Raw genomic sequence first — 12,307 nt, forward strand, 5'->3', positions numbered from 1 at the left:
GGGCCAGATTTTTCCTATGGGCCATAGTTTGCTGTTTGCTGACCCCTGGTCTACAGCTTGATTCCCTGGGTGGTTACAAGATACTCACTGAAGTGTCTGCTTAAGATTCACCGATTTTATTTATTTAAGTTATACCTGAATAGAGTTGATGGAAAATGGCAAAAGCAAGCAAACAACAAAAAAAAAATATCTAACCCTTTGGAAGATTTTGAACTTTGAAAGGCAAGGTAGTGACTCCTTTTCCCTCCCAAGAGTGCCTAAATACATAGAATAGTAACTAGAGCTATGAAGGGCCAGTTAATAAAAGCACCTCCTTCCCCAGGTTAATAACAACACACACCAGCCAACATCAATAGAATGCTTACGGCAAACCAGGTGCTGTTCAGAGACAGAGCTCTGTGCACATTCTCTCATTTACTCCTATTCCACACCCCATGAGCAGGTCCTTCCTTTTATCCCATTTGACCATTGAGGAGTATGTCCAGCAGCCAGGAGGCCCCAGAGCTGAGATGACCAGCAGGTCTCTCTGACTCAGAGCTGATGCTTGTAACTTACACTTTCCTGCTCAGGTAAAGTCAAAATGGCAAAGCTATTAAAGTAGCAGGATGGTAAAAGGAACTTCTGTCTCGGTTTTGGCCATGGCCTGAGGCTTACAGATGCTGCATTTCCAAAGGGAGTCAAGATAAGACCACAGAGGCCAAGAACCGGTGACAACAGTGACACTGGGGAATAATAAATAGATACTTGGTCTTCCTCCCTGGTTCCTGGCACAGAGAACAAAAAAAAAAATCCTTTGAATTCCAGAGCCACGGAGCTGGGGCATCCTTCTCATTCCTAATAAGCCCCTGCACCCCATCCGAGTGAATGCTAATGAGGACGGGCACTGGATGTCAGAGGCACCAACCCTGTGGTTAGAAGGCTGGAACTTTCTGCCCTCCTCTCGCCTGTGGGGAAGGGAAAGGGGCTAGAGATTGAGCTCAAATCACCAAAGGCCAATAAGTGAATCAATCATGCCTACATACCTACTTATAGAAGCACCATAAACCCCCTAAATGACAGGGCTCAGGGAGCGTCCAGGTTGTGAACCAACGCATGCACGTACTGGGAAAGGGGCGACTCCACGGAGATCAAAGCTCCCACACTCAGGACCCTCCCAGACTGTGCCCTGAGCCCCTTCATCTGGCTGTGCATTTGTGTGATAATAAACTGGTAAACCCAAGTAAAGTGTTTCTCTGAGTTCTGTGAGCCATTATAGCAAATTACGGAACCCGAGGAGTGTGTCATGGAAACCCCAATTTGTAGCCAAGTGGGACAAAAGTGTGGTAACCTGGGGACCCACTATTTGCACCTGACATCTAAAGTGGAAGGGTGGTTTTGTGGGGCTGAGCCTTTCACCTGTGGGATCTGAGCTAACTCCAGGTAATGCCAGAATTGAATTAAATTGTAGGACACCCAGTTGGTGTCTGCAGAGAAACAGAAAATTGCTTGCCATAGAAAATCTACACATTTGGCGTCAGGAGTGTTGTGAGTAGAGGAACAGATTTTTGTTTAGCCACTGACCCACACTGAGAAGAGAGAAGTGCTGGAGAAAGGAGTTGGGGAGGACTCCTTAGGAGAAAGCTGTGCTGTAATTCCCAAAGCCACCAAGGGAGACGTGTCGGGAGCACGTCCTCCTCACGCCAGGCCCAGTGCTTCTGTTCAGTCCCCCGAGAGCCCGGTCCAGGTGCCAGGTGCAGCCTGCACCGTGGCAGGTGAGCCTGGGGGCCGGCTCCATGGACCATGCATCAGAACCCACAGTGGGAACATCAGCCTAGGTCTTTTAAGAGGGATCCTGCCCACGTGACAGGACCCCGCAGCATGGGCAGTGGGGGCACTGCCAGGGGAAGAAACTGAGGAAGGGGCATCAGGGGCAGCGGCAAAAGCATCAGCGGCATTAGTACCAGAGCGGCTCCAGCTCAAATAAGGGCTGGGCAAAATGAGGCTGGGATCCCCTGGGCTGCACTCCCAGGAGGTGAGGTGCCCTTACTCACAGGGTGAGCTAGGAGGTCGGCACAAGACACAGGTCACAAGGACCCTGCTGATAAAACAGGATGTGGTAAAGAAGCCGGCCACAACCTACCAAAACCAAGACGGCAATGAGAGTGACCTCTGGCTGTCCTCACTGCCGATGATACACTGAGGATAACGCATTAGCATGCTAAAAGACACTCCCACCAGCACCATGACAGTTTGCAACTGCCATGGCAAAGGCAAGAAGTTACCCTACGTGGTCTGAAAAGGGGAGGAATGCTCAGTTCTGAGAAATCGCCGCCCCTCGTAGAAAACTCGTGAATAATCCACCACTTGTTTAACATATGATCAAGAAAGAACCAGAAAAAGAGCCAACCAGCAGCCCGTACGGGTTCTCTGCCTACAGAGTAGCCATTCTTTTATTCCTTTACTTTCTTAATAACTTGTTTTCAATTTACTCTGTGGACTCGCCCCGAATTCTTTCTTGCACCAGATCCAAGAACCCTCTCTTGGGGTCTAGATCAAGATCCTTTTCTGGTAACGAAAGGAGGGGCAGGGCCTGCGTCCCAGAACTGCAGGTGGGGGACCCAGCGGGGTAGTATCCAAAAAACCATAAAACCTCCCACAAGAGGAGGAGGCAGTTATGAACTTTCACCAGGCTGAGAATCCAACACCATGTTAAGACAGTGCCCCTCCAGTGAGAACTTTCCACTCCCCTGACTGCCCCACCTTGCCCAGTTGTTGACCTGGGCAAGGTCAGACACAGGACTCAGCGAATGTGGGAGAGCTAAGCAAGAAGGAAGCATCCATTGCCCCTGAGAGCAGGTCACGAGGAGGCAAAGGGAGAAAGTTAATCCCCAAATTTAGATTGCGCAGTGATTTAATGAGTCAGTAAGACATCTCTTCAAAAAGTCTATTACCTGAAACTGACCATAAAATAGGGAATTTGCATTTCCTATTCGTAGTGACCATTTCCTAGTGGAAGGGAAAACTACTTCTACTAAGCTGGTGTAAGCAGAAAGTGGTGAATAAAATTAAAGTGACGGTGAGGACGATGTCCTGAGTCCTACTTATTTGCTATTAATGTAGCTAGCGTGTTGTGCAAGAGAAAAATGAACAGAAAATTTAAAATGTAAAGTCTCAGTTGGCTTTTTATTTTGTTAAAGCATTCCCTAAAATGTAGCAGGAATATGAATGCCGCTCCTGGTCTCTGATCAATTTGGAGTTCCCTTTTCTCCCTCTCCTTCACTCATCACTCATTAACAAAACAAAAGCAAATCAAAACTTTTTTTTTTTTTTTTTTTTTTTAAGAGACAGGGTCTCGCTCTGTCACCCAGGTTGGAGTGCAGTGGTGCAATCTCGGCTCACTGCAACCTCTGCCTCCCAGGTTCAAGCGATTCTCCTGCCTAAGCCTCTTGAGTAGCTGGGATTACTGGCATGCGCCACCACGCCCAGCTAATTTTTGTATTTTTAGTAGAGATGGGGTTTTGCCATGTTGGCCAGGCTGGTCTCAAATTCCTGACCTCAAGTGATCCACCCGCCTCAGCCTCCCAAAGTGCTGAGATTACGGGTGTGAGCCACCACACCAGGCCCAAAACAACTTTTTCCAAATTCTGAAAGGAAAATACTTCATATCAGAACAGCCCAAAAGGCCCAAAGGTGCTAAGAGGGAGAGCGACGTGGGCGTGTCTCAGTTACCTGTGTCTGAAGAAGAGAGTGTTTTGCTGACGGGGGCGCTGCGGCAGGCGATGGCCTGGACAGAGATGTCCTTCTCGATCACCTTCACCTTGATGGGAGTCTTCACCGGAGAATCTGCCAGAGGAAGATCCTGATTACAAAAGCGGCCCCGTGGCTGACTGGATCAACAGTTACCGAAAAGTGAAAGGACAGCCCTCACTGCAACTCTGGTGTGTGCAGTTGGTAAAGGCAAAGCTTAACGAAAGCTGTTTTGAGGGGAGGAGGGGCAAGAGTGGTGTCTGGAGTCCAGGTTGAAATAAAATTTCAGAAACATTTTAACTAAGCCAGAATTTCCCATTCTATTTTGCATCCCTGAACTGTGCCAACTCATGCACTCTGGGAGGATAATGCTTTTGCCCAAGCAGAGATGCAGTATGAATTTTGAGAAATAAAGCATACGCTTATACAGAAACTTCTGTCTCCAAGGCAGTGCCTGTGGAGACAGGTACAGAATTCAGCTGGATCTCAAATGACAGTCCGTCAAGCCTTCTAGCAAACGATTTTTCACAGAAGAAAGTCTACAAGGACCACTCACTTTGAATTTTTCAAGAAAAAAGCGTGTGCTGTCCCCACATACAGGTAATAGAGTTCGTGTTTTGTTTTGTTTTGTTTTTGCTTTTTTCTTTGAAATTTGCTCTTGTTGTCCAGGCTGTAGTGCAATGGTGTGATCTCAGCTCACTGCAACCTCTGCCTCCTGGGTTCAAGCAATTCTCCTGCCTCGGCCTCCAGAGTGGCTAGGACTCCACGCACGTGCCACCACGCCCAGTTAATTTTGTATTTTTAGTAGAGATGGGGTTTCACCACGTTGGTCAGGCTGGTCTCAGACTCCTGACCTCAGGTGATCTGCCCGCCTCGGCTTCCCAAAGTGCTGGGATTACAGGAGTGAGACACTGCACCCAGCCCTATCATTGAGTTCTTAATTTAACTTAGTTGGAGTTACACCTAAGGGCAACTATTTACACTATCTAGATTTTAGCTTCAGAATATACCATGGGAATTGAACCTTGTTTCAGTTTATTGCATATGTGTTTGGCAGAAGAGAAAGATAACTGTCATCCGATAACAACAACAAACTAAGCACAAGTGTGGCCAATTAGCACCCTTCCTGTGCTGTGAGAATTTCCTAACACTCGGCGCTGCAGGCTCCAGAACTCTGCAGTTGTGGGGGCAAGGTGGTTACAGGCAGGCGTCATGCAGAAAGTTCCTCGACTGCGTTCCTGTTGTCTCACCAGAGCTCAGCGGGGACGCCCTCCCCACGTCGACGCGAGGCTTGGTCTTCACAGCAGTGACAGTAGTGACCACAGTCCCACAGGGCATCACCGTGCGGTCCTTTTCTATTTTTGCAGCAGGAACAGGGGGAGGGATGGGCCAGGATTTCAATTCACCAGGTTCCATGTAAGAGAACTGCAGAGAAGACGCGTTACTTGTTTCTGGTTTTGTGGAAGTTGCCCAGGCTGATCAGCCAGGTAACACTGCCTTCTTGTGAAATAACCATAATTCATAATTCCTTCCCTTAAGGTCACTTAGCATCTCCAATTAACCTGGATATTCCCAGAATGGACACAGACCCAACCTTACGCACAGCCAGCTCAACACGTAATGATGGCAACAGAATAGAAGCTGGGGAACCAAGCAAAACTTTCAAAGGCCTTTTTGGGGTAGGTCCATAAAATGGCATCCTGAACAGTTATCTCCTCCAGCAGACAACTCAATTGTACAGTGGACAGAACGTGCTCTATTCGAGTCTGGTCCTGCGTACGATGAAACAGCATCTCCTCTTGGAGGAGGTCTTATTTCACACAGAGGCAGGAGTGAGACTCTGCAGACATAAGTGAAGACGCTCCTTGGGTAAGTGCCCCAAGCCGGAACCCGGCCGCGGCGGACAGCCTCGCCCTACCTCTGCCGTGACCGAGCCCAGCACCGAGCTGCCGCAGGCAGACCCGCTGGTCAGCGTGAAGCTCTGTGGCCCAGAAGGCTGCTTCTTAAATAAGTCCAGAGGAACTGTCGCCGTCGCCAGCAGACCTGAAAAGATAGGAGACAGGCAAGGGGTGCCGCTGATGTTTCCCGGGCTTCCGTGAGGACGGAAAGGCCCACACGCCCAGCAGCCGGAACACGCTCCTCCCGTGCATCCAGCCCACGGGGAAGTGCTCACGTTTCAGAATGTTTGAAAAATGTCGATGCCATAAAAGACAAAGAAAGGCTGTGGAAACGCTGCAGGACAGAGGATGCTAAAGCAATAAGACAGGCAGGCAATGTCCGGCCCTGTGCCGGAGTGGAAAGGTCACTGCTCTGAAGGACATCACGGGGTCGTCCAGTGACAAAAACTGGAAGATGGGCATAAGCTAAGGAATTGCAGCAATGTAAATTCAGGGAGCTGACAACTGTACCGTGGACACAGCAGAGAGTATCTCCATTCCTGGGAAAATACACACTAAAGAATTGAGGATAAAGGGCCAAGATGCATACAATTTACCCTCAAGTTGTGTGTGTGTGTGTGTGTAAAAGAAAATGAGTAAGGGGAGGGAGAGAGAGACCAAGCATGAGCACAAATAGTAGAGGAAACTGGGCAAATGTTAAGGATACGTGAGTTTGAGTAAAGGTTATGTGGCTGTTCTTTGCATTGTTTTTGTAAAGTTCGAAATTTCATGGATTCCATCAGGCTGGGCTGGAACGAAATTTGAGTGAGGCCAGAAGGAGTGGGGACCCAGGAATGGGATCAGAAGTTGACTTCTCTCCAGGTAAACAGCACCCCCATGCTGTGCAGGTCCCCGACCTGCGTTAGGCTTCTCTCTCAGGACTCTTATCTCACGGGCATCCCAGTTTTCTCGGGACTCCAAAATCAAGGAAGTCGCCTCAGGATTCTTGCTAACAACTAGGATATAAAACTAGTTAACTGGGAGAAATAACAACTTTCTCACTTTAGGAGGTAACCAAATGGCTTGATTTTATTGCTGGATAGGCTGGGCAAGGGCTTCCCAATTTTGGTATGTTTATGGGGAGAGTTTTACAATCTAAGAAAATATTTGTATCTTTAAAAACCTAACAAATATTGAAACTACTGATGTGTACACACACACACATACAGGCCCACGTTCATTTTAGTGTTTTAGTGACTTTACCTCTAATTGTTGCTTTCTTGTGTATAAATCCTGAGTTCAATGTAAACCTCTGTAGTTTATTTTACAAGGAAAAACCCAGTGAAATTCATACAGGCAGTAGAGTAGGGATGAAAAAAGCTCTGGAGATAGATGGGGGTGATGGTTGCACAACCGTGTGAATGTACTTACTGCCCCTGAACTATGTACTTAGAAATGGTTAAGACGATACATTTTATGTTGTTTATCTTACTACAGTTAAAAGGTTTTGTTTTTGTTTTTGTTTTCCAAAAAAAGGAGGTCTCTTGGAGCTAAGAGGGTTCAGAACTACTTCTCTATGCCAAGAATTGTTGCATAAAAGATTTTGGATTTTTTTAAAAAAACAAACAAAAAATCCAGTTGAACATTTCCCCAAAATGTATGACCTTGTTAATAACTCAAATTGCCTTTCGACCAAACATTCCCATGGGAAAACCAAAGTCATTTAGAGGAGGGGTCAGCTTCCTCTGCTGGATCTCCCACCGCCCTTTTCCTGAGGCCGAGGTCATGCAGCGGAGGACCTTTCCAGAGGGCGAGGCCTCTGTCCTCCTGCTCAACCCACCTTCTGAGGATCGCCCAGCCTCTGAAATCTGCAGGTGTAACTCCTTCGACTTGGCATTCAACTCGCTTTGGAAGAGAAACAAGTTATGAGTCCTAAAAAATGCAATGCTTGATTCTTTTTATGAAATAGAGTGTTTTTTCTGATTATAGAAAGGAAGACAAAGATGTCAATATTTAACAAACTACCAAGACATATAAGCAAAAAAAGGGAAAGAGTTATCTGCAACCTCCCCATTCGGAAACAGTTACTGTTAATATTCGGTGACTAGCCTTCCAGAGTAGTCAACAGGATGTTCTGTGATGGCAGTGACAGAGAAGCTGTCAAATGCGGTAGGCACGGAGCACTGGAGAGGTGGCCAGTGCAAGCTGAGGAACTGAACGTCATTTTAAAAAATTTCCATTAATTTAATTTAAAGAGACACATGTGGCCAGTCGCTGCCATATTGAAAGCACAGCTATATAATGACCTAAAGACAAAATACGGAACATGATATACCTCCCTCCTCCTTCGTAACCTATTTATTTTCATTACAAAGGCATTAAAAAAAAAAAAAAAAGTAGAGATGAAGTCTTGCTACGTTGCCCAGGCTGGTGTCGAACTCCTGAGCTCAAGCCATCCTCCCACCTCGGCCCCCCAACGTGCTGGGATTACAGGTGTGAGCCGCCGCGCCCAGCCTGTAACCTATTCTTTTAACTGAAAATTTTGTGGATGTCTTTCTGTATAACTACAGAGCAACATCATGTTGGATGGGCCTCTAGTATTCTGCTCTTTGCCCTTAGGAGATTTTATTTAGCCAACTCTTTACTAAACAACCCTTCTTAATGTGTTGGTGGTCCCCACTATTTCATAACTATACACAAGCTGAGAGGCACATTCTTACCCATATATCTTTGCACGCCGTGTGATTATTTCCTTAGGAAAACTCTAATTGCCTGTCAAATGGCATGTGCATTTGAGAGGTGTTTTTCATTTAGGTCGACGGATGGCATCCAGAATGCTTATTCCCAGTGACACCTCCAATGCCATTATCACTCTCTTATTCTTTACCAAGCTGTGAGGTGGAAAGATGACCTCTCCCTTTTGCTGAAGTTTGCATGACTTTACTTATTTCTGAACATCTTTTCAGAAGTTTATGGCCATTGGTAGCTCTGGCTTTTGTATTTCCAGTTCAGGAATTTTGTTCAGTTTTCTAAGGCAGCTGTCATCTTTTCATTCATGATTTATAAAAGCTATACACACACACACACACGGGAAATTTTCTTCCATTACTTTTTCTAATTGTTCATTTTTTAAGGATTAGATTATGATTAATTTTAATACTTTGGTACTCAGCTAATTCATTAAATGATTATGTCTATTAGTTTTTAAAATATTCATTTCTACCTTATATCAATTATTCTTTCTAATAGCTTGGGTTGATTTTCTTGCATAGTCCTGATACGCAGTCATATCATCTCCAAGCAATGATTGGTCTTGCCTCTTCCTTTCCGGTATTTGTGTATAGTTTTTTCCCTTATCTAATTTGCATTAACCAATACTTCTAGAATAAAATAGGCATCCTTCTCTTGATTTTAGTGAGTCTGCTTCTGGTATTTACCATTTATAGTGATTTTTAAAATCTTATTAAAGAAGTATCCATAAATTTTGCTCTAATTAAGTTTTTAAAAATTAAGAATGGGTATTAAATGTCACTGAATGTCTTTTGGACATATGTAGAGAAAATACATTTATTTTCTCTTTTGATCTAGTAATACAATGAACACCATTAACAGATTTCCTTATGAGAAAGCACACATACATCCTTACATTCCTGGTATGAACACAGCTGGTTTTATTTTTCATGTGCTGCTAGATTCTGTTTGATAATATTTTATTTATGATTCTTACCCCATTATTTATGCATGGCCTACATTTTTCCCTATCTCGATTCTTTTTTTTTTTTTTTTTTTGAGATGGAGTCTCACTTTGTTGCCCAGGCTGGAGTGTGCAGTGGTACAATCTCAGCTCACTGCAACCTCTGAATCCCAGGATCAAGTGATTCTCCTGCCTCGGCTTCCTGAGTAGCTGTGATTACAGGCACCTGCCACCATGTCTGGCTAATTTTTGTACTTTTAGTAGAGACAGGGTTTCATTTACCATGTTGGCCAGGTTGGTCTCGAACTCCTGACCTCTACCCACCTCAGCCTCCCAAAGTACTGGGATTACATGTGTGAGCTACTGTTCCCAGACTTTCTTTCTTTTTTTTTTTTTGAGACAGGGTATCTCTCTGTCACCCAGGCTGGAATACAGTGGCACAATCACAGCTCACTGAAGCCTCGCTCTCCCAGACTCAAGCAATCCTCCTGCGTCAGCCTCCCAAATAGCTAGGAGTACTACAGGCAAGGCAAGGGCCACCATGCCCGGTTAAATTTTTTAAAACTTTTAGTAGAGAAGAGGTCTCGCTATGTTGCTCAGGCTGGTCTTAAACTCCTGGGCTCAAGCGATTCTCCCGTCTCTGCCACCCAAACAGCTGGGATTACAGGCATGAGCCTCTGCACCCAGCGCCTTTTTCTATTTTCTTCGTTAGGTTCTGGATTCAGTCAGAGGCTCCCTCCCTTTTCACCCTGGATGATATGTGTGTCTGTAAGAGACCCCACGATGGCTCCCTCTCATCATATCAGGGCAGGAGGAGAAAACTGACTCTAAGAGCTGCCTTTACAACAAAACCCATGTTTGACCTAAAGCTACCTTTAAGATGCTTAAGACATCATTTGTTGTTAACTGTTTTGGTTTAGTGTTTTAGCCTAAACGGTGCTGCAGAATGATTTCAGGATTTGGCGCTCCTGAACAGACACGGCCGTGGACACACAGGCCCATAACCCGGCCAGACTCACAAGGTGAATTCCTCTTCCCACATGAGGTCCGGAGTGTTTTTCGTCAGGGTGCTGGAGAACCTCTGAACAGGATCGTTCAGCTGCACGACGCACACTGCATTAATGTGGCCTGTAATTAAATAGAAGGGCATCGTGTTGGCGTTTATTTTTATTATTTATTTATTTTTTTTTTTTTTTGAGACAGAGTCTCGCTCTGTCGCCCAGGCTGGAGTGCAGTGGCGCAATCTCGGCTCACTGCAACCTCCGCCTCCCAGGTTCAAGCGATTCTCCTGCCTCAGCTTCCCGAGTATCTGGGATTACAGGCGCACGCCTCCACGCTCAGCTAATTTTTGTATATTTAGTAGAGACGGGGTTTCACCATGTTGGCCAGGCTGGTCTCGAACTCCTGACCTCGTGATCCACCCGCCTCGGCCTCCCAAAGTGCTGGGATTACAGGCATGAGCTACCGCGCCCAGCATTATTTTTATTTTTTAAATTGCATGAAGACATTGTATGCATAGAAAAAAAAGGCTAAATTAAATGACTAAGGTCGAGGTTTACCCACTTCAGAGAGTGGGAATTCTTGCATCTGCCATTTTCAAATGCTCATAGCACCAGCCTTTATTGGAGTTAAGTAATTTTTTCCCACATTTGATATCAACAGCCAAGGGCTGTTGACCCCAAGTACCTCGCCCCCTCCGTCAGTGCTGGCCACAAGCGTGGGCTCCCAGGGGGACCCTCCCCGAGAGGCAGCACCATTATATACACAGGCATGGTCCCCACTTTTAGACAAGACTAACAGTTTGCCAAAGCCTAAACATCAGTTCGTGTTGACTCCTAAATTTGGAAATATACCTCACAGAGTTCCCATTTCCCGACTTACACCAGACAGGTGCTGTACCTGATACTAGCCAGGGTATTTGATCCAGGTAGTAGGACATGTCACTAGTGAACAGCTGTTTCTGCTTTGAGACAATGCTTCTCCCTGCAGCACAAAGTCCCCAATACACTGTGGAATCAGTAATTGCTGGAATGTGTGGACGCTGGACCACGCAGCAGCAGGGTGAAGCAGCCTCCACGCATTCGCTACTGAGCTTTCACAGTCACTCTTCAAGAGAAGACTCAGACCCAGACGTGGGGACATCCAGCAGAGGCAGGAACGGGGCCTGGCCTCAGGACAGGTACATGTGAGAGCTGGGACCCCAACCCTGACCGACCGAGTCCAGGGAGCTCACGTTTAGCCACTAAGCAGTACAGGCTGAAAGGGCAACATGTGGGCACTTTTACCAAAAAACATCCTCAACAGCTAGCTCTGCACAGTCTCAGTTGCTAGATGTGGCCCATTTGTGCTTTTGGAACTGGAGGAAGCCCCTTGCAAATAAAGATAAGTCACCTTTAACATACTCGGGCAATACAATTTGCTCCTGTTCTTGGCAAAATGGAGTCGCGCTGTAAAGAGGTGCCCTGTCCCGAGTGACTCTGTGTCTGGGGCCTCAACAGTGATTCAGAACCACCCAGAAGGGGTTATCCATTCTGTGTTGCTTGTCTTGGCTCCAACAGCAGCCATGGTCTCCCAGCATCGGAGTCCCGAGTGTGGCCGAAGCCATCTGATGCCCATCAACTCCCTACATCCCCCTTCACCCACTTTCTAAGAAAGCAGAATCTCCAGCACTTTGGGAGGCTGAGGCGGGCGGATCACCTGAGGTAGGGAGTTCAAGACCAGCCTGACCAACATGGAGAAACCCTGTCTGTACTAAAAATACAAAATAGCCAGGCGTGGTGGTGCACGCCTGTAATCCCAGCTACTAGGGAGGCTGAGGCAGGAGAATCGCTTGAACCCAGGAGGTGGAGGTTGTAGTGAGCCGAGATCGTGCCATTGCACTTCAGCCTGGGCAACAAGAGCGAAACTCCATCTCAAAAAAAAGAAAGCAGAAGCTGCACCTTGGTCAAGGATGCTTAACACATACATACAGGTTCAACAGTTAAAAAAAAAAAAAAAAAGGAAAGAAAAG

The 12,307-nt window shown here is 46.3% G+C and overlaps 1 protein-coding gene across 5 annotated transcripts in view; it reads right to left on the reverse strand.

Moving 5' to 3' along the window:
* Nucleotides 1-12,307, reverse strand: part of C2CD2 (C2 calcium dependent domain containing 2) — a 68,907-nt gene that overhangs the window by 16,904 nt on the left and 39,696 nt on the right. For all 5 annotated transcript variants that reach the window (NM_015500.2, XM_011529522.3, XM_011529523.3 and 2 more), the window contains 5 exons: nt 10,317-10,425; nt 7,444-7,508; nt 5,645-5,769; nt 4,977-5,151; nt 3,709-3,822 (listed from right to left, as the gene is read on the reverse strand). In NM_015500.2, coding sequence (NP_056315.1) covers nt 3,709-3,822; nt 4,977-5,151; nt 5,645-5,769; nt 7,444-7,508; nt 10,317-10,425 — 588 coding nt within the window. The remainder of the gene's footprint in view (nt 1-3,708; nt 3,823-4,976; nt 5,152-5,644; nt 5,770-7,443; nt 7,509-10,316; nt 10,426-12,307) is intronic.

Source organism: Homo sapiens, chromosome 21 (assembly GCF_000001405.40).
Source record: "Homo sapiens chromosome 21, GRCh38.p14 Primary Assembly".
Lineage (NCBI taxonomy): Eukaryota > Metazoa > Chordata > Mammalia > Primates > Hominidae > Homo > Homo sapiens.